We start from the raw sequence: 26,300 nt of genomic DNA, 5'->3' as shown, positions 1-26,300 counted from the left end.
CCTTCAGTTGTCTTTGTAGGTGGCAGAACTAATATTTCAGCAGAGACGGTTGTTCAGGAAAAGGAGATATGTGGCTTTTTGTGTCTTTCATTTAAATCTGAGACATTTTATGTAACTACCAAAATTTACATCTTCTGTTTGAAATCTCCTTGGAGAAGAAACATGACTGGATAGCTGAGTTCGATGATGACTCCTGCTTTCACAATGGTTTTAATTATATTCTTCCCTGCAGATCTGTGAGTGTGTCTAATTTATCCATATACAACTCGTGGGTTAACCCTTACACTCTACCTACCATGAAGCAGTAGGCAAGCACTTAAAAAGTTACCATTTGCAAACAGCTTTGAAGTCCTCTGGTAAATAGATTAACTGCAGGAGAAAGGGGAAAATCAGTCTTAGTTATGAGGGCAGCTTCTAAATTCCCAGAGAAGCAGGATTCATGGCAAACAGACCCAAAAGGAGAAATAAACCTTGGACTTTTCTCTCTGCAAATTTGAGCATCTGGAGTGTTAAGTCTGTTCATGTTGTTGACCTGGTGTTTGGGAGTTGTCTTCTATGAAATATCTTCCTTTTTTTTTTTTGAGACAGAGTCTCACTCTGTTGCCCAGGCTGGAGTGCAGTGGTGTGATCTCAACTCACTACAACCTCCGCCTCTCAGGTTCAAGTGATTCTCCTGCCTCAGCCACCCGAGTAGCTAGGATTACAGGCACCCGACACCACACCCGGCTAATTTCTGTATTTTTAGTAGATACAGGGTTTCACTGCATTGGCCAGGCTGGTCTTGAACTCTTGACCTCAAGTGATCCACCTGCCTCGGCTTCCCAAAGTGCTGGGATTACAGGTGTGAGCCATCGCGCCTGGACTGCAACATCTTTATAAAGGTAAGTTACTTGGATGGATTAAGTTCCTGTGCACACAGGTGTGTGTGTGTGTGCACGTGTCTGTCTGTGTGTGTGTGCGTGTGTGCGTGTGCATGTGTGCGTGTGCATGTGTGTTCATGTGTGTGTGTGTGTGCATATGGGGGAAATGCTCTAAGGCAGTTAGCTTGTGCAGTCCTAAGCTCTGAGTGGCAGAGTCCAGGAAGCAGTTGATGCATTTAGAAAGATATTTCCTTCAAAGTCCCCTGACCCTAAAGAGGACTGACACCGTGACATCTGCTACAAAGTGGATGGACGTCAAAAACTGGATGCTGAGTTAGAGAAAACAGACACAGAAGAACGCATTGTGTAGGATTCCATTTCTCTGAAATGTCCAGAACAGGCAAATCTGCAGAGACAGAAAGCACATTGCCGGTTGCCAGGGGCTGGAAAGACGTGGGAATGGATATATTATGAGTTGCATTTTTTCTCCCGCAAACTTCATATATTGAAGCCCAACCCTTCAGTACTTCAGAATGTGACTTTCTTTGGAGATAAGATCTTTGCAGATGTATTACTTTGGTGCAAAAGTAATTGCAGTTTTCACCATTAATTTTTTTTTTTTTTTTGAGACACAGGCTTGCTCTGTCACCCAGGCTGGAATGCAGTGGCGTGATGTCAGCTCACTGCAACTTCTGCCTCCTGAGCTCAAGTGATTCTTCTGCCTCAGCCTCCTGAGTAGCTGGAATTACAGGCATGCACCACCACACCTGGTTAATTTTTGCATTTTTAGTAGAGACGGGGTTTCACCATGTTGGCCAGGCTGGTCTCGAACTCCTGACCTTGTGATCCGCCCACCTCGGCCTCTCGAAGTGCTGAGATTACAGGCGTGAGGTAGCGTGCCCAGCTCCTCGCCATTACTTTTGAAGGTGAAAACTGCAATTACTTTTGCACCAACCTAATCATTAGTTAAGATGAGGTCATACTGCAATATGATTGGTATTTTAAAAGAAGAGAGAAATCTGGACACTGACATGCACACAGGGAGAAGGCCTTGGGAACATGAAGTGGGAGATTGGGGTGATGCACCTACAAGCCAAGGGATATTGGCAGCAAACCACTGGACGCAATGGGAGGGGCATGGAATCCATTCTACCTCACAGCATCAGAAGAAATCAGCCCTGCTGGCTGGGCCCGGTGGCTCACGTCTGTAATCCCAGCACTTTGGGTGGCTGAGGTGAGCGGATCACTGGAGATTAGTAGTTCGAGACCAGCCTGGCCAACATGGTGAAATCCCGTTTCTACTAAAAATACAAAAATTAACTAGGCACGATGGTGCGCGCCTGTAATCCCAGCTACTTGGGAAGCTGAGGCAGGAGAATTGCTTGAACCCGGGAGGCAGAGGTTGCAGTGAGCCAAGATTGTGCCACCGCACTACAGACTGGGCAACAGAAACAGAGTGAGACTCAGAAAGAGAGAGAGAGCGAGAGAGAGAGAAGAAAGAGAAAGAAGAAAGAAAGGAAGAAAGAAAGAAAGAAGAAGGAGGAGGAGGAAAGGAAGGAAGGAAGGAAGGAAGGAGGGAAGGAAGGAAGGAAGGGAGGGAGGGAGGGAGGGAAAGGGGAAAGGTAAGGAAAGGAAGAAAGAGAAAGGAAGGAAGGAGGGAAGGCAGGAAGGGAGGGAGGGAGGGAGGGAGGGAGGGAGGGAGGGAGGGAGGGAAGGAGGGACGGAGGGAGGAATCCACCCTGTTTGCTCCTTGATTTCAGACCTCTATGCTCCAGAACTGTGACAGCTTAACTGTCTGTTTTTTAAGCCCCCTACCTAGTTTGAAGCATGTTTTTATGACAGCCCCAGGAAGCCAATATAAAAAACAGCTGCTAATGGGATTTCTTTTGGGGGCAGTGAAAATATCTTGGAACTAGGTAGAAGTGGTGGCCACAAAACACTGTGAAAGCAGCAAGCAACCTGAATTGTTCACTTTAAAATGGTGAATTCTCCTGTCATCCCAGCACTTTGGGAGGCTGAGGCGGGTGGATCACCTAAGGTCAGGAGTTCAAGACCAGCCTGGCCAACATGATGCAACCCATCTCTACTAAAAATACAAAAATTAGCCAGATGTGGTGGTGACTGCCTGTAATCCCAACTACTTGGCAGGCTGAGGCACGAGAATTGCCTGAACCCGGTAAGCAGAGGTTGCAGTGAGATGAGATCACGCCAGCCTGGGTGACAGAGACTCCGGGTCAAAAAAAAAAAAAAGGTTAATTCTATGATTTGTGAATTTCACCTTAATAAAAAAAATGTTTCCCAAAAGGTAGTGAGGAGTTAGGTTAAATGGTTAAGTTCAGGAAATCCTCTCAGATGTAGTGAAGGTGCAAAATAATTGCTACGATTTCCAGCATGCCTAACGTGCCAGTGTTGTAAGTATTTTACATGCTTCTTGAGGCAAGAGTAGACAAGCTTTTCTGCAGAAGGTCAGATAGTAAAGGCATTTATCTTTGCAAACCATATGGATTCTGCTGCAATATGTAACCAATGTCTGTGCGCCAAGTGGACTTTATGAACATAAAAACTTGAGTGTCACATAATTTTCATGCATCACAAAATATTATTGTTCTTTGGAGTTTTGAAAATTATTCAGACATGTAAAAACCATTCTTGGCTGGGCACCGTGGCTCATGTCTGTAATCCCAGGACTTTGAGAGCCAGAGGCAGGCAGATCACTTGAGGCCAGGAGTTCGAGACCAACCTGGCCAACATGGTGAAACCCTGTCTCTACTGAAAATACAAAAAGTAGCCGGGCGTAGTGGTGCATGCCTGTAGTCCCAGCTGCTCAGGTGGCTGAGGCAGGAGAATCGCTTGAACCCAGGGGCGGAGGTTGCAGTGAGCCGAGATCATGCCACTGGACTCCAGCCTGGGCGACGGAGTAAGACGCCATCTCAAAACAACGATAACGACAATAATACAAAAAAATTCTTACCTCGAAAGCTGTACAAAAACACACCGTGGGCAGATTTGGCTCCCGGGTTCTAGTTTGCCGACATCAAAGCTGTGTGTTGCAGGAGTCCTGGGAAACCCAGTTTTATCACCTCTGCTTCACTAAAGTATGGTCAGGGCAGGCCGTGTGCCCAGCGGTAATACACGCAGGCTCCAGATCAGAGCACGTTAGGGGAAAAGCACTCTACTTCACCGCTCGAAGCCTCAGCTGATCAAATGCTGGGAGCTCACAGACATGGCAGAATTTACAAAGCCGACTTTAATTTTCACATCCTCGATAACCTTAAAAAGCGTGAATGCATCTCCTTTTCAATGTTCATGGGATGCTCCTGAAAATTCACAACTGCACTACAAAGAAAGCTTTAGCAAACTGTTTTTTTAAAGTAGAAACAAGACAGAAGACATTCTGTTGCTGTAAAATTGGAAATAAGAATATTCTAGGCCACGCATGATGGCTCACACCTGCGATCCCAGCACTTTAGGAGGCCGAGGCGGATGGATCACCTGAGGTCAGGAGTTTGAGACCAGCCTGGCCAACATGGTGAAACCACATTTCTACTACAAATACAAAAATTAGCCGGGTGTGGTGGCATGTGCCTGTAATCCCAGCTACTTGGGAGGCTGAGGCAGGAGAATCACTTGAACCGGAGAGGTGGAGGTTGTAGTGAGCTTAGATCAGGCCACCGCACTCCAGCCTGGGGGACAGAGTAAGACTCTGTCTCAAAAACAAAATAAAAAGTAATAAAAAATAAAAGAATAAAGATATCCTTATTCTGCGTCACACTAACTTCCTGACTTTGTGATTCACCCTGGCACACATACAGACATGGATACAACAGGTTTTTAAGATATAAAATCAAGAAAAAAATCAAATCTATTCCTTTCTTAGGAGCGTTGGTCAGGAATGGGCAGGAATTAGGTAGAAAGGTGTGTGCATGTTTCATTGCTTGTAGACACTGCCTGTGATGGTTCATACTGACTGTTAACCTGATTGGATTGATTGACACAAAGTATTGATCCTGGGTGTGTCTGTGAGGGTGTTGCCGAAGGAGATTACCATGTGAGTCAGTGGGCTGGGAAAGGCAGGCCCCCCGCCCTTAATCTGGGTGGGCATAATCTAATCAGCTGCCATCAAGGCTAGAATATAAAGCAGGCAAAAAAATGCAAAAAGAGAGACTGGCCTACCCTCCCAGCCTACATCTCTGTCCCGTGCTGGATGCTTCCTGCCCTCAAACACTGGACTCCAAGTTCTTCAGTTTTGGGACTGGGACTGGCTCTCCTTGCTCCTCAGCCTGCAGATGGCCTATTGTGGGACCTTGTGATCGTGTGAGTTAATATTTAATAAACTCCCCTTTGTGTGTATATATATATTCCATTAGTTATGTCCCTCTAGAGAACGCTGACTAATATACAGCCAAATCACTCCCCAAGGAGACGGTGCAAATTCACAGCAGCAAAATTGAAAATGGATAATGAAACCAGGAAAGCAAACAAAGCAACAATATCACCCGGACGTTTTAAAAAACTTTTAATGTTGAGTTGACAGGAAACAAAAGCTGAAAATGCTAAATACTAGAAAATGACCATGATACAAACTCCCCATGAAAGAACTTGAGAGCTTGTAGTACACAGATGAAAAGTTAGAACCTCGCCTGTTTACAACATTAAGCAAGAAAGAATGAAAATAAATGGAATGAACATTCAACTCGAGAAGTCATCCTGTGTGGGGAGAGTGGGTATCACATGAAACTCCAGAAAAGCAGGTGGAGGAAATTAATGCATTGAAAATTGAGAAATGATTTGCCAAATAATTTAAACATTATCTGAGAAAACTAAAGTAGACGAAGATAACAAACTAAAATAATGACAGCACAAAACAAGAAGAATGCGAGCTTCTCCATACACTTGGAGGATGCGGAAGAATTATAAACAACTACTTTGTTCTAATCTGCACTGTGATATTTGAAAACTTAAGTAAATACGAATGACTTTCCAATGAAGAAGTAGAAATACATAAAGTTTTTTTTTTAAAAATTCATTTCCCAGCCGGGTACAGTGACTCATGCCTGTCATCCCAGCACTTTGGGAGGCCGAGGAAGGCAGATCACTTGAAGTCAGGAGTTTGAGCCAGCCTGGCCAACATGGTGAAACCCCATCTCTACTAAAAATACAAAAATTAGCTGAGCGTGCTTGTATATGCCTGTAATCCCAGCTACTCGGGAGGCTGAGGCAGGAGAATTGCTTGAACTTGGGAGGTGGAGGTTGCAGTGAGCCAAGATTGCACCACTGGACTCCAGCCTGGGCAACAGAGTGAGACTCCATCTCTAAATAAATAAATCTCTCTCCAACAGAAAGAAACAAAAACCCTTTGCCCCCTCTAAAACACACACACACACACACACACACAGCCCATGCCCAGAAAACTTTAGCCAATCAGATTTTCCACAAGAGAAAGAAGAAAATCTACCAAAATGTATGTATGAAGAAAGCACAATATTGAAATATATTACATGCAAACATATAACACACATGAATTTGACTTTTGAATATTGACACAATAATCCTAAAGAAAATAACAAAACTAAAGTGTAACACCAAATAAGATTGGATTGAAGGATGATCGATGATATGTCATTATATTTAATTCACCATATTAACAGGTCAAAGTAGAAAACCATAGTCAGCATGATGCATCCCAAGAAAACACTTGATTGAATTTAATACCCATTCCTGACAAATGTTCTTAAGAAAGGAATACATTTTTTCATTATTTTATAGATGAAAACCTGTTGTAACCCTCACAAAAGTGTTAGAAGAATAGATACTTTTTTTCACGATTTTTTTTTTTTTTTTTAGATGGACTCTTGCTCTGTGGCCAGGCTGGAGTGCAGTGGCGCGATCTTGGCTCACTGCAACCTCCACCTCCCGGGTTCAAGCAATTCTCCTGCCTCAGCCTCCCGAGTAGCTGGGATTACAAGTGCGTGCCACCACGCCCAGCTAATTTTTTGTATTTTTAGTAGAGACAGGGTTTCACCATGTTGGCCAGGATGGTCTCGATCTCCTGACCTCTTGATCCAGCCGCCTCGGCCTCCCAAAGTGCTGGGATTACAGGCGTGAGCCACCGCACTCGGCCTTTTTCATGATTTTATATATGAAAACCTTTTGTATCCCCACAAAGGTGTTAGAAGAATTTTTTTTCATAATTTTATATATGAAAACCTGTTGTATCCTCACAAAGTGTTAGAAGAATAGATGCATTTTTTCATGATTTATATATGAAAACCTGTTGTATCCCCACAAAATGTTAAAAGAATAAACTTTTTCATAATTTTATATACGAAAGCCTGTTGTATCCATGACTGTATGTATGCCCATATGAATCATGAATTAAGGAAGTTACCATGGCACAGAATTAACATAAGTAGGTAGTTTAAATATATAAAAAATGAAAGATACAAATCAATATAAAAATATGAAAAGGCTATGAAGAGATACAAAAGAAGTCAACTAAGAAAAGAGATGTATTGGGCCCAGCGCGGTGGCTCACGCCTGAAATCCCAGCATTTTGGTAGGTCGAGGTGAGCAGATCACGAGGTCAACAGATCGAGACCATCCTGGCCAACATGTTGAAACCCCGTCTCTACTAAAAATACAAATATTAGCTGGGCATGGTGGTCTGTTCTCTTCTCTGCGATACATGACAACTTTTCCACATTGAGAACTGTCTCCCCATTAAGGCTTCCAAAATACATGGCTCTATGAAAGCTTGGAGAGGGCTCCACTTGCATTTTGTGCTAACATCATAGAGATTTAAAGTCCTGATATTCGGAATGGGATTGACGTCATAAACTTTCCTCCACCGGAAAATGAGGATATCATCAGTACGTCCTCAGTCGCACAGGCAGGCTAACGTGAAGCTGTTTAAATAGTCATCCAGAGAAAGGCGATTTCAAGGGAATGTTTCATTTCGCCACTGATGATGGTGTTAAAAACTGACTGCTGCACGTCACAGCAGCTAGGCTTCCCATGAATCTCTCTATGCAAACGTATGGTGTTACCATACCCATGTCAAAAATCGTCTGATTTGGGGAAAGAGGTTGGATGAAGGAGTCAGTCATAAATGCTGGGTCTTTCCCCTTTCTAAGCTCAGAAACTCCGCCTTCAATTTCAGTTCTGGGTGGGAGTCATCCAAGCAGTCTCCCTGCTGTTGAGGATTCGACACCTTTTCACATCCCATCATTCTCAGGATATTGAAGGGCACAGCCAGCTGGCTTTTTCTGGCATTGGAGTTATTTCTTCTGATTTTGACACTAGTGATAACTTGGAGTATGTAAAATTGGGTGAACACAGTGGCGGGCACCTCTTGGTTATTTATCTTACCCTTTCATTGCTTCCTTTAGCAAATACCTATAGGATGCCACCTGTGGTGCAGGTGTGTGGAGGTGACCTTCTAGATTCTCCAGGATGTATTGAGACATCACAAATGCCTCATCCTCTCCACCCTTGAGGGGGCCGACCACGGATGTGCATGTTTAATTGTTTAAGGACACTGTCAGTCCATTCCCCATAGAAGTTTCGCAAATGCCCAGGACTTACATGATGTCTCAGATCTGTTTCCTAAGAGCCCTACAAACTTTCTGATTATTGCCAATCTCTTAGTTGAAAAACGACATCAAATGGGCTATCTTCATAAAATCATCTGCGTTCCATTTCTGGAAAACATGTGAATTGCCCTTTGTTTTTATACGGGTGTTGGGTCCTTTTCTCATTGATCTATAGGGACTGTTTACGCCTCAGTGAAGTAGGTGGCAGATATTCTTTTTCACTTAATCCTTAGTCTGGTGAATCTTCAAGGGCTGAAAGCTGGATAAACCAGCATGCCTGGCCGCTTTGCTGAGTGACCAATGACACGTTATAAAGTTAGAGGGTGGTGTTTCTAGTCCTCCCCAATGAATTATCAAGAATTGTCTTTGAGGTCAGATTCTTCACATTGACTAACTTTAGAATAAAAAAAAGAAAAAATGCATTAAATCTGTTGTCATTCTATGAATAACACTGACATTTTTGTAAGTATTATAATCATACCATCCACACAAATGGCTCATTGTAATCATACTATCCACAGAAATGGCTCATTAAACAAGAAGCAGAAGAGTAAAAAGAAGAATAGTAAAAAAAAAAAAAAAAAAAAAAAAAAAAAAAGGTATTTTTTTAGATATGTCAAATTAGGGCTTACTTATAAATAAATCTATACTTCCAAGAAATGTGTCAACAAGACTTATTTTTTTGTGGAGGGTGGATGTCCATCTTTGTAGATGACTGATTTTAATTTCTCATGGACATAAAAATAAACATGATTTTATTGAAAGTGGGTTACTTGAAAAATAGAGTTTAAATTATACGGCTTGTTGGATCATTAAATACCTGGGTAAAACAAGTCTTTTGTTTCATTATTTTGGAACTTCTATGTAAAGAAAGTCCTATGATTTTGGGAATGATGATTAAAAAGTTACTTAAGGGCTGGGCCAGGCACAGTGGCTCACACCTGTAATCCCAGCACTTTTGGAGGCCTTGGCAGGCAGATCACTTGAGGTCAGGAGTTTGAGACCAGCCTGGCCAACATGGTGAAACCCAGGCTCTACTAAAAATAGAAAAATTAGCCGGGTGTGGTGGTGCACGCCTGTAGTCCCAGCTACTTGGGAGGCTGAGGCAGGAGAATCACTTGAACCCAGGAGGCGGAGGTTGCAGTGAGCCAAGATTGCCCCACTGCACTCCAGCCTGGGTGACAGAGCAAGACTCTGTCTCAAAAAAAAAAAAAAAAAAGTTACTTAATGGCTAATAGAACATAGAATAAAATACTTTATAAATTTTTGAAATAATAGTATTTGGAATAGTATGGTAGTTGTTGGTATCAGAGCCAATCTCTTAACTTCTTAAGGAGAGAGGCTTTTCTGTGATTTATTCTGCAAGTGTTTACTGAGCTTCAATACATGCTAGGCAGTGTCAGTAAACAAAAAGACCCTTGACTCATTCATTCTTTTTAACAAGGCAGAAGATCCATTGCAATCTGGGCCATAATGTATTTAACCAACCCACTTAAGCTGTGGTCAAGTCTTCAGTGTTGGGAAAATGCGGTACATCTTGTACATCTTAGGAAGTACAGTATCTGGATGTAGGGAGTACCTGGATTTAGAGGAGTATCTGGATACAGAGGAGTATCTGGAAGCAGGCAGCATCTGGACTCAAGGGGATAACTAGCTGCAGGGAGAGTATCTGGAAACAGAGTATCTGGATGGAGGAGAGTATCTGGCTGGGAGTATCTGGGTGCAGAAGAGTACCCATCCCGATGTGGCAGGACACGGGAAAGGAAAAGAGCCCAACAAGGACATTTTGGAAATAAAGAGCTAGCATTTAGGCTGGAAATCTGCCTTAAAGCCCCAGAAGAAGAGAACTTGGAACCCATCCTGTAAATTACCACGGCCTTCTTTAACATCCACCCACGGCAAAATATTTAAGTAAAAAAAAAAAAGTACTTGGTTTCTAATTTCTTTTTATTAGTCTGATATGAAAAACAAATATCCCTACAAATGAAAGAAATATTGAAGAAACAAATTGAAGGGCTTACCTTATTTTAATTAAAAAGAAGTCGGGGCTACCAGGGGTTTCAGACGTGCTCGATGGACACGTGATTTGTAAACAGCCAAGATTCTGGGGGACGGGGGGGTGCCTCGGTGGGGTTGACATTTGAGTTACAGGGACTTAATAATGGCCAGCCTTTCACATCCCATGGGAAACCGCCCCCCCGGGCCTTGGAGAATGGGGGTCCAAGTGCCTATCCCCCTTTGGATGTAAAATTCATCGTTAGTAAACATCATCCGCCCAGCAACAAGCAAAGCACATCGCAAGATTAAAACAAAGAATCCGCCGTGAACAGAAGGCCTCCATCTCTGCTCTCAGGCAGGTGTCCTTCAGGGAGGAGCCTCAGGCAGCTGTTCTAACCCTGCTGCCAACGCCTGGGCTGTTTCTGCCGACAATCTTCTATTTCTCTAAAAGAGTACGCTGAACTGTGGGAGACAGAGACAAAAGAAAGTCATTCCCAGGTCCCTGAGCACTCACGTGGACACAGTTCCTACAACTTTCAGGAGCCAGTGGTTTTATTTCTGCATAAGAAAAATGGGCCCAAAACTCATCACGAGAAAGCAAAACCCTAAATCTCAATCAATTCAATCAATTTCATTGAATGATGCCATTCATTAAAAAAAATGGATGCTGCAGAAAAAGCAGAAGGAAAACAGCAGAAGGCAATTTCCACTAACGACGTCACAGAGACACTAACAAATGCCTATAACTTACCAAATGGAAGAATAAATCTTCTAAATGAGAGTGTGCAGTTTTTATTGATTTGCAATGATGCTGGGCTGAGATTTTCTGGTCCATTCATTTAAGTTTTGGAAACTTTATTCTGCATGTCAGTCTTAAAACTATTTTGGAGGGAGAAGCTGGGATTTGGAAGAAGGAATTAAGAACAATGGTGGCAGAAAACACTGGAATGCCACGCCCTTCAAGTCACGAGGGCTCCACACACATATACCAATGTACTGGCTAATGAAGCCAGACAACTTCATTGCAGTGGGCAGAAGGAATCTTCCTTTTCTCTTTAAGATATAGCTTGTTCTAAACATCTTTCCCTGACTCGAAAGAGCAGTCAACAAGACACTAACTTTCTTTTATTATTATTATTATTATTTTTGAGACAGAGTTTTGCTCTTGTTGCCCAGGCTGGAGTGCAATGGCGCAATCTTGGCTCACCACAACCTCCGCCTCCCGGGTTCAAGCGATTCTCCTGCCTCAGCCTTCTGAGTAGCTGGAATTACAGGCATGCGCCACGATGCCTGGCTAATTTTTTTTTTTTTTTTTTTTTTAATTTTTAGTAGAGACGTGGTTTCTCCATGTTGGTCAGGCTGGTCTCGAACTCCCAACCTCAGGTGATCCGCCCACCTCAGCCTCCCAAAGTGCTGGGACTACAGGCATTAGCCACCGCGTCTGGCGAGACACTAACTTTGTAGAAGTCTCTATCTTTAAAATGGAATGCCAGGCACGGTGGCTCATGCCTGTAATCCTAGCACTTTGGGAGGCCAAGGTGGGCAGATCACTTGAGGTCAGGAGTTCGAGACCACTCTGGCCAACATGGCGAAAGCCCCGTCTCTAGTAAAAACAGAAAGAAAATTAGTGGGGCATGATGGCGGGTGCCTGTGGTCTCAGCTACTCAGAAGGCTGAGGAAGGAGAATCACTTGACACTGGGAGGCAGGGGTTGCAGTGAGCAGAGGTCGCACCACTGCACTCCAGCCTGGGTGACAGAGAGACACTCCATCTCAAAAAGAAAAAAAATTAAAATATTTTAAATCATTTCATTAAAAATCCCTCTCAATTTGACAGCTGCTATTAAAAATAAGCACTGCATCTCTCAGGCAAATGAGAAGGTTCCAATGTATGCACAAACAAAATAAAAAAATACACGCACATATACACACACACATTTTTTTCTTGCCATTTTCAAAAGTGGTTCTGATGGCAAAATGCCTGCCTTTTACCCTGAGAAGTTTCTCACGAATTAAAGTCTCTTCTTAACCACATTTTCCACCTGGTTGAGAGGATTTTTAGAAGGTGATAGCAGGCTGGGTGCGGTAGTTCACGCCTAGAACCCCAGCACTCTGGGAAGCTGAGGTCGGAGGGTTGCTTGAGCTCAGGATGGGCAACATAGTGAGACCCTGTCTGGGCAACCTAGTGAGACCTTGTCTCTACAAAATAAAAAAAAAACAACAACAAATCAGCCGGACACGGTGGTGCACGCCTGTGGTTCCAGCTTATCAGGAGGCTGAGGTGGGAGGATCCCTTGAGCCCAGGAGATCGAGGCTGCAGTAAGTTATGATCGTGCCACTGCACTCCAGCCTGGGCGACAGAGTGAGACCCTATCTCTAACAACAAAAAAAAAGTTGACAGCAAAACTTAACGAGTTATATTTCAGGAGATGGGCTTTTAATTCCCAGTGCACACCAGCCAGCTGTGGACTTCCCAACTATGCACCAATCGTGTGCCACTTGGAACTTTTTTTTTTTTTGAAACATGTCTCACTGTGTCGCCCAGGCTGGAGTGCAATGGCACGATCTCGGCTCACTGCAACCTCTACCTCCCAGGTTCAAGCAGTTCTCTTGCCTCAGCCTCCCAAGTAGCTGGGATTACAGGCGCCCACCACCACACTCAGCTAATTTTGTATTTTTAGTACAGACAGGGTTTCACCATGTTGGCCAGGCTGGTCTCGAACTCCTGGGAAAACTTCCTTAATATTTTGTTAAACAGAGACTTAGGCACATATAGGTCTTCTCTGAAGGCCCAGGCCCTAGGAAGTTTACACATTCATTGTCTTTTGAAAGTATCCCTCCAAAGCAACGAGACATAAAGGAAGACATTCAAAGCCATGCAACCAAATTTGAGAATGTGAGCAGGACAGCAAGATGGGAGAGGATGGAGAAGATAAAATGGGAACACTGGCCACGTGTGCAAGCCATCGTTCCCCGTCCTTCTTACCAGCTGGCTCTGCGTTGGCATTCCGGTGGCTCTCCATGTCCACCTCCCCTTGTTCTGCTGAAAAGAAGAAGAAAATACACAGAGAGGCTCAGTGCAACAGATAACCCACTCCTCAAAATACACACAAAACACTTGGGCTTTCCTGAGGTCGACGCTCCTATTGCTTGGATGAGAGCACTCAGTTCTGAACCCCGAGACCCACTGGGAACATGGAGTCTAACACTCATGTAAGTGAAGACTTTGCCAGTATTTTTTCATGCATGGCACAGGCAGAGATGAACTTCAACAGGGTAATCCAAGCAGCTTCATTTTCCTCTATTTTAAGGGTTGCTTTCTTCTCCCTAAACACTGAGGAACACGCACATGGAAGCTCTTTCTATAAAAAAAAAAAAAGTACGTGCATCTGTGAAAATAAGATTCTTATTTATAACTGCCCCCAAACTCATCAAACAAATGCAGACGGCTGGGCGTGGTGACTCACGCCTGTAATCCCAGCACTTTGGGAGGCTGAGGCAGGTGGATCACTTGAGGTCAGGAGTTCGAGACCAGCCTGGCCAACATGGTGAAACCCCGTCTCTACTAAAAAATACAAAAGTTAACTGGGCGTGGTGGCGTGCACCTATACTCCCAGCTACTCGGGAGGCTGAGGCAGGAGGATCGTTTGAACCCAGGAGGTGGAGGTTGCAGTGAGCCGAGATCACACTATTGCACTCCAGCCTGGGTGACAGGGCAAGACTGTCTCAAAATAAAAATAAAAATAAATAAATAAAAATAAATGCAGAGGCTGGGCATGGTGGCTCACACCTGTAATCCCACCACTTTGGGAGGCCAGGCGGGCGGATCACGAGGTCAAGAGATCGAGCCCATCCTGGCCAACATGGTGAAACCCCGTCTCTATTAAAAATACAAAAATTAGCTGGGCGTGGTGGCGTGCACCTGTAGTCCCCGCTACTTGGGAGGCTGAGACAGGAGAATCATTTGAACCCAAGAGGTGGAGGTTGCAGTGAGCTGAGATCGTGGCACTGCACTCCAGCGTGGGTGACAGAGCAAGACTGTCTCAAAATAAAAATTAAAATAAATAAAAATAAATACAGAGAATCTCAGCAGATTAGCATCTTTTCAGTACCTAGGGAAAGGGGACTTTCTTCCTTTACCCACCTCCACCAATCATCCTTCTCAGGTTGAATTGGCTCTCCTGTCCCCCCTTCTACCTCCCTCAGAATGCAGAGAGGTGAGTGAGGACTCCGAGCACTAAGAGCTTCCCCAGCCATCAAAGGACAAGACAGCCAAGGCGTCTTGTGTACCCGGTTTTCTTCCTCCTCCAGCATTTTTTCCCAGTCTTGTTTCCATTCCCAAATTTATTTATTTATTTATTTATTTATTATTATTATTATTTCTTTGAGACAGAGTCTCGCTCTGTCGCCCAGGCTGGAGTGCAGTGGCGCGATATCAGCTCACTGCAACCTCCGCCTCCCGGGTTCAAGCAATTCTCCTGCCTCAGCCTCCTGAGTAGCTGGGATTTCAGGCATGCACCACCACGCCTGGCTAATTTTTTGTATTTTTAGTAGAGATGGGGTTCCACCGTGTTAGCCAGGATGGTCTTGATCTCCTGACCTTGTGATCCGCCCACCTCGGCCTCTCAAAGTACTGGGATTACAGGCCTGAGCCACCACGCCCGGCCCTCTATTCCCAAATTTCCATTAAAAAATGTTTCAAACATGCCGCAATGCAAACAGGGTCAAGTCCCCAAATGTTGTCGGTGTCGCTTCTTTTCTGACCCACAGCATAAGCCAACAGAATTGGAAACGCGTAAGAGATGCACAGATCAATAGGTATTTATTTATTTCCAGTGTTGGTGTGAAGGAACACCCACGTTTTCAACACAAAGGGAAGCAGCAGAAGCTCATCGAATCTGTGGCCATGCGTTTCCCCCTCACAAAGACCGTGCTATTTGTAAAACGGCCCCATCTGTGGTTCAAATGCCTTCATAAAGGAACACGTTTGTATGGTGCAGCAGCGTAACTTTTCTTTTTCTTTTCTTTTTTTTTTTTTTTTGAGACAGAGTCTTGCTCTGTCGCCCAGGCTGGAACGCAGTGGCGCGATCTCGGCTCACTGCAACCTCCGCCTCCAGGGTTCACGCCATTCTCTTGCCTCAGCCTCCCGAGTAGCTGGGACTACAGGCGCCCGCCACCATGCCCAGCTAATTTTTTGTATTTTTAGTAGAGACGGGGTTTCACCATGTTAGCCAGGATGGTCTCGATCTCCTGACTTCGTGATCTGCCCACCTCGGCCTCCCAAAATGCTGGGATTACAGGTGTGAACCACCGTGCCAAGCCAGCAGCGTAACTTTTAATGACAGCAGCAGAGACAGCCTCGCCAGTTTACGCTACGTGAACTCCACAGTTTCAACTGTTCTCCCTAACCACTAAATGACTCCCACATAAAGGGCCAAATTCTTTGATTTAAGAAAAAGAGAGGAAAACCCCCTGAAGAGAAGAACATTCGAAATGATCCGAAAATGTTCACCACAAATGTCATTTGTTCTGCCAGTCACAAGTTGTCAACACGGGTGCATTTTGCAGCAAACTGTCCTGGCTAGAAATTGAAAACCTGCATTCATTTCAGAGGACAAATAATTTCTCCCTCTCCCCTCATTGGTTAAAAAGCATAAAAGATATTCTTTTTATTCCTGTAATTTTATAAAACACTACATAAAAGCTGGCGAGTTTTAAAGAGGGAAAAACTGCATTGAAAAGTATAAAGTCTCACAAGGGCAAAGTCCATCTGGGGCAACAGTTCCAACATCACGGACCTCTCAGGAGGAGAACTGGTCTCATGAGATGCTCCGTACACCCCTACCCACATACCCTTCCTGTCAAAACTTAGACCAAGCATGCCACATCTGACAAGTCAACTTCAAACAATTCGTGGTGCTTTTCTTTCAGGCTAGAAATCATCTGTAGCTATTAGAACCATTCAGCAAAGCAATATGGCTTTAATGGGTACCTATGCTTTGTGAAGATATATTTATACACACACACACACCGTGTGCTTGGGGCCAATCCTGAGACCATATACCTGAGGATCACTGTCTAGCAGTGGCTAATCTTTAAGCGGTGTTAGGACAGACACTCTGGGAAACACGCAGGACATTCTGGACTCAGTCCTGTGGTCAATGGGGGGCAGCTTTCATTGCATCAGACTTGAGACACCTTGGGACACATCCTTCAAAGAGTTGGGGGGCTGTAAAGGTGACCTCTGTGAGAAGGTGACCAGACCCATGTGGGTCAAGGTTTTGTGCCCTCACACCATACAGTGCCCCAACACAGGAGGATCAAACCATCCGTGCTCAGCTAGAACTACGGCTCAACCATAAGGGAGGCTGTGCCTCATTTCCACAAGAGGGCAAATAAGAAAAGTAAAAGAAGTAAGAAAAAATTAAAAGGAATATGAAAAAAAAAGGAAAATAAGAAAAAAAAAGAAATCAGAAAAGTCAAAGAAATAAGAGGAAAAGAATGAGGAAAAACGGAGAAGAAATAAAAGTAAAAAAAAGAAAAATAAGTAAAAGAAATAAGATAAAAAGAAAAAGCAAAAAGGAAAACAAATAAGAAAAAAGAAATAAGAGAAAAAAAAAAAGAAAAAAGAAAAAGGGCCAGGCACAGTGGCTCACACCTGTAATCCCAGCACTTTGGAAGGTTGAGGCAGGCAGATCACCTGAAGTCAGAAGTTCGAGATCAGCCTGGCCAACATGGAGAAACCCCGTCTCTACTAAAAATACAAAAATTAGCTGGGTGTGGTGGTGTGTGCCTGTAGTCCCAGCTACTCGGGAGGCTGAGGCAGGAGAATCGCTTGAACCCAGGAGGTGGAGGCTGCAGTGAGCCAAGATTGCACCACTGCACTCCAGCCTGGGCAACAGAGTGAGACTCCAATTTAAAAAAGAAAAATGAAAAAAGAAGAAAAGTAAGAAAAGAAAAAGAAATAACATATAACAAATAAGAAAAGTAAAATAAATAGAAGGAAAAGAAATAAGAAAAAAATGAAAAGAAAGAAAAAAATAAGAAAAGTAAAAGAAAGAAAACAAGTTAAAATCAATTACATTGAAGAACAAGTTGGTGGACTTTGGAAACAGAAGGAAAATCCAGGTACAATTTGTGTTTTTCAGGGATATGAGAGAATCCAAGGAAGACGGCCGCAGAGGCTCCGTGCTCAAATGTGTGAATAGGGACCTGACCACCCACCAATTCCCAACACGCCTTACAGTGTGAAGATCAGGAGATGTTTAGGTGATTCCTCAACGTATGAATTTTGTTTTTCTAGGAACCAAGGTGTGTACCTGTTTGGAACACTGATCACAGAAAGAGTTAAGAACTGCTTCATAGGAAGTGCAGTGAGAAATGCAAGTCAACGGCCAAAAACGTTGAAGATTTAAAAATCCATGCATGACCTGGAAGGTCAAATCCTTAGGACGTGAGTGAGCTTAACCTAGGACACTGCAGGGAAGAGGGTGGCCACCCTGGGCCCCAGTTTGTTCCCTTGGCAGGGATGGACTTAGGGACAAAACTCATTAAAACATGGAAGTCACTGCCCTGTTTCTGTTAGATTCATGTTTAAAAGAAAATATCTGCATTTCTCTTCATTTTCTGAAGCTCTTATGCAGAAATATGATTTGCTATAATGAGCTTCTGTGCATCCAGAAAGGCAAAAGCATATGGAACTGAAGGCAGAGAATCCGCCATGTGATTGAGAATCCCATCGTGGTGGGAATTTGCCAGCAGGGCGAGGGGAGCGGCAGATGGAAGGGTTTGCTTTAAGGCTATGTCTTAGCAGATAAAACGATTACGGTCAGGACGCTCCGCAGGCCTGGGCTGGGTTCTCTGCTCACCCCTAGGTCTTCAGCCATCTGAAATGGAAGGTTGAAAACGATAAAAAATAATAATACAAAAAGTAAACTGGTGCTGGGTCTGCTTTTGCTGTGCGCTGGGGCTCCCAGCAGCAGGGAGGTGTTAGAAAGAGCTGCTCTGAGCAAGGAAGTAATGGGATAGAGGCTCAAAGTGTGAGAGTGGGAAGTGGAAACCAAAATTAAGGAGTGGAGGAAGGGAGAGACAGAGGAAGGCAGGGAGGGAGGCAGGGAACAGGGAGAGCAGGAGGGAAGCAGGAAGAAGGGATGGGAGGAAGGAAGGGAGGAAGGCAGAAAGAGGGAAGGAACGAGGAGGGAAGGAGGTTGGAAAAAAGGAAGCAGGGAGGTATGGAGGAAGGGAGGGAGGAAGAAGTGAAGCAGGGAGGAAGGAAATGAGGGAGGGAGGGAGGAAGGGAAGGAGAGAGGGAAGGAGGAAGGGAAGGAAGGAAGGAAAGAAGGGAAGGAGGGAGAGAAGAAAGAAGGAAGGAAGAAAAGAGGCATGTAAGAACAGGAGAGATGGATGAAGAGAGACAAAGAATAGAGAGGAAAAAAAGAAAGGAAGGAAGGAAAGGAGGAAGGGATGGAGAGGGGAAAAGGAAAGAAGGAGGGAGGGATGGAAAGAAAGGAAGGAAGGAAAGAAGAGAGAAAAAAGAAAGAGGTACATAAGAAGAAAAGAGAAGGAAGAAAGGAAGAGATAGAGAAAAGGAAGAGAGAAAAAGGAAAAGGAGGAAAAGAAGAAGGGAGGGAGGGAGGAAGAAAGAGGGAGAGTTCAAGAAAGAATGAAAAGAGAGAGAGAGGGAGAACTGAGGGCAAAGGAAGAAAGAGAAAAGCAGGGAAGGAAGAGAGAAAAGAAGGAGGGAGGGGGAAAGAAAGGAGGAGGGAAGGAAGAAAGGCAGAGAAGAAGAAAGAGAAAGAAGGAGACAGGGAGAGCCAATCGCCCATCTTGCCAAAGCCTCAAGAAACCCACTGTGAGCCCAGGACCCTGGCAAACAGAGCAGTAGGACCAGCCACCACAGCCAAAGGACAGCATCCTGAACACCCCTTGCCAGCCACGGAAGCTGGGCTCTGTGGGAAGTGGTCAGGCTCCGTGTGGTTAGTGGTCTGAGCCAGGTCCCCCGCGAAGCCAACACACCCAGATGCGAAGTCACAGACCCCGAGTGCATGAGAGAAGCAGCTTCAACAGGCCCCTTCGTATCACATGGACAAAAACCAGGAGAAGCCCAAGCACCACAAACTCAAATCTGTAGGAAGGGAGGAACGGAGGCTGGTGCAAAAGTAATTGTGGTTTTTGCCATTAAAAGTAATGGCAACATAGCAAGACTCTGTCTCTACAAAAAAAGGTAAAAAATTAGCTGGGAGCCACCACACTCAGCTAATTTTTTTTTTTTTACGTTTTTTGTAGACACGAGGTCTTGCTATGTTGCTATTACTTTTAATGGCATAAACCGCAGTTATTTTTGCACCAACCTATAACAGACAGAGCCATCTGATTCCACAAGGAGTTTCTAATCCGTGAACCCCAAAATATAACACTGCAAAGCTTCTCAGTAAATCTATATCAAGTCACAGGATTTGATAAAGGCATCTCCTTGTTGGAAAGATGCCGAAGACTCACCTATGTCTACTCACTCGCCTGGGACTCATTTTAATACAAATTTAACAAACACCACAGATTTCAATGCAATGACACAGTCCCGGAAAATGAGCCTGTCTGGTAGAATAACAGTATCCCCAAAACTGGGCATGGTTTTTCTTTTCTTTTTTCTTTTTTGAGACAAAGTCTCGCTCTTGTCCCCAGGCTGGAGTGCAGTGGCTCGATCTCGGCTCACTGCAACTCTGCCTCCTGGGTTCAAGCGATTCTCCTGCCTCAGCCTCCCGAGTACCTGGAAATACATGTGTGCACCACCATGCCTGGCTAATTTTTGTATTTTTAGTAGAGCCAGGGTTTCACCATGTTGGCCAGGCTGGTCTCAAACTCCTGACCTCAGGTGATCCACCCGCCTTGGCCTCCCAAAGTGCTGGGATTACAGGCGTAAGCCACCGCGCCTGGCCCATGGTTTCTTGAAGGACCAGGGCATGCTATACTCACATCCTTCTTATGAAATCTCCAAGCTCCCCATGAACCTATGGGGTTGCCAGATCTCAAAATCACCATCCCGGAAATCGAACCCATAAAGCAAAATCCTGCCCCAGAGGCTGAGGGCTCTGACATCTTTCGTCTTCCGGATAACTCGATCCAACATCACAATTCCATGTCTACTAACAAAATCATGTCACTGAGATAAATATTAAACTCATTTTATAATTCAGGTATAAAAACCAAGCTGTGAGTGGATGCAGTTGGAAAGGTCCTCTTTTGAGGTAGGGTCTTGGTATTTATAGAAGAGTGCCTTGTTTTTGTTTTCTTTCTCTTTTTTTTTTTTTTTTTTTGAGACAGAGTCTCACTCTGTTGTCCAGGCTGGAGTGTGGTGGCACAATCTTGGCTCACTGCAACCTCTGCCTCCCGGGTTCAAGCAATTCCCTGCCTCAGCCTCCCAAGTAGCTGGGATATTACAGGTGCCCACCATCACGCACAGCTAATTCTTGTATTTTTAGTAGAGACGGGGTTTCACCATCTCTTGCTTCTCTTTGTTATACTTTATTTTATTTTCTTTTTGGCCCTTTGCTTTGTGCATTTACAAAAGGCCAAGAAAATCAATCCCAGGATAACTAGAAAGCAAACCAGGAATTGAAAGTTGGACCTTCTGTTAATTTGGCATCAGAATAAGAGACTTATAGAAAATATTAGAAGAAAATTAGCCTAGCATCTCATTAGTATAAAGTGAATCTTGGACTCCCCTGAGCCAATTCTTCAGAAAGGATGCTTTTTTAAAAAAAATTATTTTGGGGGCCGGGCACGGTGGCTCATGCCTGTAATTCTAGCACTTTGGGAGGCCAAGGCAGGTGGATCATGAGGTCAGGAGATCAAGACCATCCTGGCTAACACGGCAAAACTCCGTCTCTACTAAAAATATGAAAAATTAGCTGGACGTGGTGGCACGCGCCTGTAGTCCCAGCTGCTCGGGAAGCTGAGGCAGGAGAGTCGCTTGAACCCGGGAGGCAGAGGCTGCAGTGAGCCGAGATCACGCCATTGCACTCCAGCCTGGGTGACAGAGTGAGACTCCGTCTCAAAAAAAAAAAAAAAGGTATTTTTATTTTTATATCTAGAGACAGGGTCTCTGTCTGTCGTCCAGGCTGGAGTGCAGTGGTGCAATCATGGCTTACTGCAGCCTCCAATTCCTGGGCTCAAGCAATCCTCACACCTCGGCCTCCAGAGTAGTTGGGACCACAGGCAGGCGCAAGCACGCCCAGCTAATTTTTTACATTTTTTGTAGAGATGAGGTTTCACTATGTTGCCCAGGCTGATCTTGAACTCCTGGGCTCAAGCAATCCTCTTTCCTTGGACTCCCAAAGCACTGGGATTACAGGTGTCGGCCACCTCGCCAGGACATATTTGCTTTTGTTCTTGAAGAATCTAGGAAAATTGTTTCTACCCAGTGAGAGCTTTCATTGTTCATGCCTGCCCCACCTCCTGCAATAAAAAAAGATAATGCTTCCACCCAAGACCAAGACCCAGGGGTGGCGGGGCGGATAAGGTAGAGGAAAAGTTGTTTTTCCTTTTCCCAATTCTATTTCAAAATTTTTGACAAAATCAAGTCTATTAAGCCTCCTGGGTGCTTTCCCAAGTTTGTGTGTCTTCAGATGTGATATGGTGAGCCTCTGTGTCCCCACCCAAATCTCATCTTAAATTGTAATTCCCATAATCCCCATGTGTCCAGGGAGAGACCAGGTTGGGGTCACTGAACCATAGCGAAGGTTCCCCCATGCTGTTCTCGTGATAATGGGATGGTGCCTTGCGTCCCCTTCTGCCATGATTGTTAAGTTTCCTGAGGCCTCCCCAGCCATGCTGAACTGTGAATCAATGAATCCTCTTTCCTTCATGAATTATCCAGTCTTAGGCAGTTCTTCATAGCAGTGTGAAAACGGACTAATACAGGATGTGAATATGAAATAGGCTTACAAGATCCCAAAAGTTCCTACGTCTGCACGCACAAGGTAATAAACATCCTTTGCAACTCATGAATCCAATTTGGGTTGACCTAAAGATTTTCAGAGAATCATCAATCAGAGACTTTGTAGTTTAATGCAAAAGTGTTCAACAATTGTCTGGGATTCTAAAAAAGAGGCCGGGTGCTTTGACTCACGCCTATAATCCCAACACTTTGGGAGGCCAAGATTGCGGGGGGGAACCACCTGAGGTCACGAGTTCGAGACCAGTGTGTCCAACATGGTGAACCCCCATCTCTACTAAAAATACAAAAATTAGCCGGGTGTGGTGATGCACACCTGTAATTCCAGTTACTTCGGAGGCTGAGGCAGGAGAATTGCTTGAACCCGCGAGGTTGCAGTGAGCCAAGATTGCACCACTGCCCTCCATTCTGGGCGATAGAGCGAGACTCCGTCTCAAAAAAAAAAAAAAAAAAAAGCCAGAGAGTTTGAAATACAACATCTAGAATATTACGCATCCTGTCCTGGCAAACAAGCCTTCCTTACCTCCTGGTTGAATATTATGCTGTGAGTTGAACAGTTTCAGAAAAGAAAAAGAAATGTCATTGAAAAGCAAACAAAAATTCCCTTCCATTGAGTCCCTACTGTTTTAACCCCTCCGCTACTTCTAGAAGAAGCAAGAGGGGAGAAGAATGTTATGCTGTTTGCTTTTTTCCAACGTGATTCTAATCGTACGTCTCTTACAGGCATCTCCTTGAATGTGGTCATCTGTCCATTTGGGTCCCGCTCAAAACTGCCATTCAATCAACCAAACACCAGCTGGGCACGGTGGCTCACGCCTGCAATCCCAACACTTTGGGAGGTCAAGGCAGGCGGATCATCCAAGGTCAGGAGTTCGAGACCAGCCTGACCAACATGACGAAACTCCATCTCTACTAAAAAAACAAAAATTAGCTGTGCGTGGTGGTGCACATCTGTAATCCCAGCTACTCGGGAGGCTGAGGCAGGAGAACCCGGGAGGTGGAGGTTGCAGTGAGCCAAGATGGAGCCATTGCATTCCAGCCTGGGTGACAGAGTGAGACTCCATCTCAAAAAAAAAAAAAAAAAAAAAAGAAACAACCAAACACCATTTCCCACTCGTCTGCCCACCAGGTAGGAGGCAACTGTCTTCCACGCACTGCCCAAAACCCCACAGCAAGAACGGGGAAATAAACACGAGCAGCTCATTTAAAGTCTTGAGATCCGAAAGCTGTTTAGGACTCTCCATTTCACGCTCTAAATAATGTTTGTGGATGTCAAATGCTGGAATGATGGGAGATTACGGGGAAACTCCACCCCTACAGTCTAACTTTGTCCACACCAGCATCTATTCAAATGTTCTAGGAATCCCTCTAAAATCTTCAGGAGGCAGTGCTTTGAGTGAATGACATCAGTGACCAAGAATGAATAAGGACTTAAGATCTAAGTAGGGTGAGAAGTTCAGACACCCAGAGGCGTGAGGGACCCCAGGGGCTCCTCCATAAAACAGTAGCTGTTGGCCAGGTGTGGTGCCTCACGCCTGTAATCCCAAGACTTTGGGAGGCCGAGGCGGGTGGATCACTTGAGGTGAGGAGTTGGAGACCAGCCTGGCCAACATGGTGAGACCCCATCTCTACTAAAAATACAGAAATTAGCCGGGCGTGGTGGCGGGTGCCTATAATCCCAGCTACTCAGGAGGCTGAGGCAGGAGAATCACTTGAACCTGTGGGGTGGAGACTGCAGTGAGCTGAGATTGCGCCACTGCACTCCAGCCTGGGCAACAGAGCGAAACTCTGTCTCAAGAAATAAAAAATAAGAGTAGCTGTTCCCGGTCGATGGGATTCCTGCAAACCACAATGCTTGGTCATGCAAGAGGGAAGGCAAGAGCTAAATGTAAGTGCCCAGTGATGCATGCACGTTAGCTGTGTTCCAAATAGCAGGGCTTACTTCCCAGCTTCACGGCGGATCCCAATACAAGGTCCCAAAGAGCCTGCCAGCTGACCTAGGAGGATTGCAATGGTGAGTACGTCCTCCTCCTAATTCCCCTGTAAATTTTAGTCCCGATCCAAGAAACTTCCCAGGTCCTGGGTGCCTGTGGGTTTTCGGTACTAACAGAAAGGGAATCCGCTGTGCTGGTTTTTGTTTTGTTTTGTTTTTTGAGACGGAGTCTCACTCTGTCGCCCAGGCTGGAGTGCAGTCACATGATCTCAGCTCACTGCAAGCTCTGCCTCCCAGGTTCACACCATTCTCCTGCCTCAGCCTTCCGAGTAGCTGGGACTACAGACGCCCGCCACCATGCCCGGCTAATTTTTTGTATTTTTAGTAGAGACGGGGTTTCACCATGTTACCCAGGATGGTCTCGATCTCCTCCTGACCTCGTGATCCGCCCGTCTCGGCCTCCCAAAGTGCTGGGATTACAGGTGTGAGCCACCATGTCCGGCCTTGTGCCGGCTTTTAACTTAACTCTCAGTGGAGAAAGGACCGTGGCGGCCCCCTGGTCACGGCTCTCCTCCTGATGATGACATCGGTTGTAAATAACAGGGCAGGAATGATCAGAGCTAAGTGTCTTCCACCTTTGCTCTCTGCAGGGTAACTTGTAGCGGCTTTCCTGCAGGACTGTCTCTAACCCCAGCAACAATTCCGCGGCATATGTACCAACCATTTCCCACTTGGTAGACGTAAACAACCCAAGCACTGCAGCAGTGGGGAACTTGTAAACTTTCACACAACAAAACACAAGGCAGAACAGCCCTGAAATCAAAGCCAGAAGGTTCGATTCCAGAATTTTAGCAGTTTCACGAACCATCAGCCATCGTGCACCTGTTTCGTGCCAGCCCGAGTTTGGTTTCTGCCTTTTAAAGAAAGCACAGTTTTCCAATCAGCAAGGCATGAAGGAGAGGCACCGGCGGACTGAGACTTACCATTTTCTTTGAAGCATAGCTTCTTTTTCTGGTAAGCAATGAAGCTAGAGATGGCTCCAGCCACGGCGACCACGACAGCCCCCACAATCCCGGGGATCACGCCTGGGGCGTCGGCTGCAGGAGGAAGCACACAGCATCGTGATTGAGACACGCACGGTGCAGAGAAGATCCCAGGGGGCAGTGGCTGGCAGAGACAGTCAGTCTGAGAGCACCAAGATCCTCAGAACATCTCAGACGCCTGAGCTGACCGATTTGCAAAGGAAGCATGCCGAGAATGATACACAGGAAGGCAAAGCAAGGCACAATCTCCCATCGCACGTGCTGGGCAGACCTGGTCAGACCATGGAGGGAGTGGAGCAGGAGAAAAGAGACATGAAGAGAGGCCAGCGAGGTACGGGCAGAAGCTCAGCAGAACCAAGGCAGAGACAAAAAAAGACAAAGACAGATGGAAAGAGAGCTGGGGCTGGGCGTGGTGGCTCACGCCTGTAATCCCAGCACTTTGGGAGGCCGAGGCAGGTGAATCGCCTGAGGTCAGGAGTTTGAGACCAGCCTGGTCAACATGGTAAAACCCGTCTCTACGAAAAATACAAAAATTAGCCGGGAGTAAGGGTGGGTGCCTTTAATCCCAGCTACTCAGGAGGCTGAGTCCAGAGAATCGCTTGAACCTGGGAGGCAGAGGTTGCAGTGAGCCGAGATTGTGCCGCTGCACTCCAGCCTGGGCGACAGAGCAATTCACCATCTCAAAACAAAACAAAACAAAAAAGAAAGAGAGAGCTGGACATCAAACCTGGAGGAAGGAGCCCAGGCAGGGGCAGAAGATAAAGAAGCAAAGACCTGCAATGCTTGGGGCATTTGCCAATGCGTTTTGTATCGTTAGAATGCTCCTTTTTCACCCCTTGAAGATAGCTTTGGGTTTCAATGCAGACATTTTAAATCTATCTCTATTTAATTAATTATTATTATTGTGTATTATTTTGAGATGG

The 26,300-nt window shown here is 45.2% G+C and overlaps 1 protein-coding gene across 7 annotated transcripts in view; it reads right to left on the bottom strand.

Moving 5' to 3' along the window:
* CD99 (CD99 molecule (Xg blood group)) overlaps positions 10,382–26,300 on the bottom strand; it is a 50,015-nt gene continuing 34,096 nt past the window's right edge. For 3 of the 7 annotated variants that reach the window (NM_002414.5, NM_001321370.2, NM_001122898.3), the window contains 3 exons: positions 25,318–25,431; positions 13,435–13,491; positions 10,382–10,912 (listed from right to left, as the gene is read on the bottom strand). In NM_002414.5, the coding sequence (NP_002405.1) occupies positions 10,887–10,912; positions 13,435–13,491; positions 25,318–25,431 (197 nt within the window). In that variant the 3' untranslated portion in view covers positions 10,382–10,886. Of the gene's footprint in view, positions 10,913–13,434; positions 13,492–15,253; positions 18,335–25,317; positions 25,432–26,300 lie in introns of those variants that run through there. The other 4 variants (NM_001321368.2, NM_001321369.2, NR_135623.2 and 1 more) reach the window with 3 other exon arrangements.

Source organism: Homo sapiens, chromosome Y, assembly GCF_000001405.40.
Source record: "Homo sapiens chromosome Y, GRCh38.p14 Primary Assembly".
Lineage (NCBI taxonomy): Eukaryota > Metazoa > Chordata > Mammalia > Primates > Hominidae > Homo > Homo sapiens.
The sequence above is the reverse complement of the archived record's forward strand: the minus strand, read 5'-3'. Positions and strand labels throughout refer to the sequence as shown.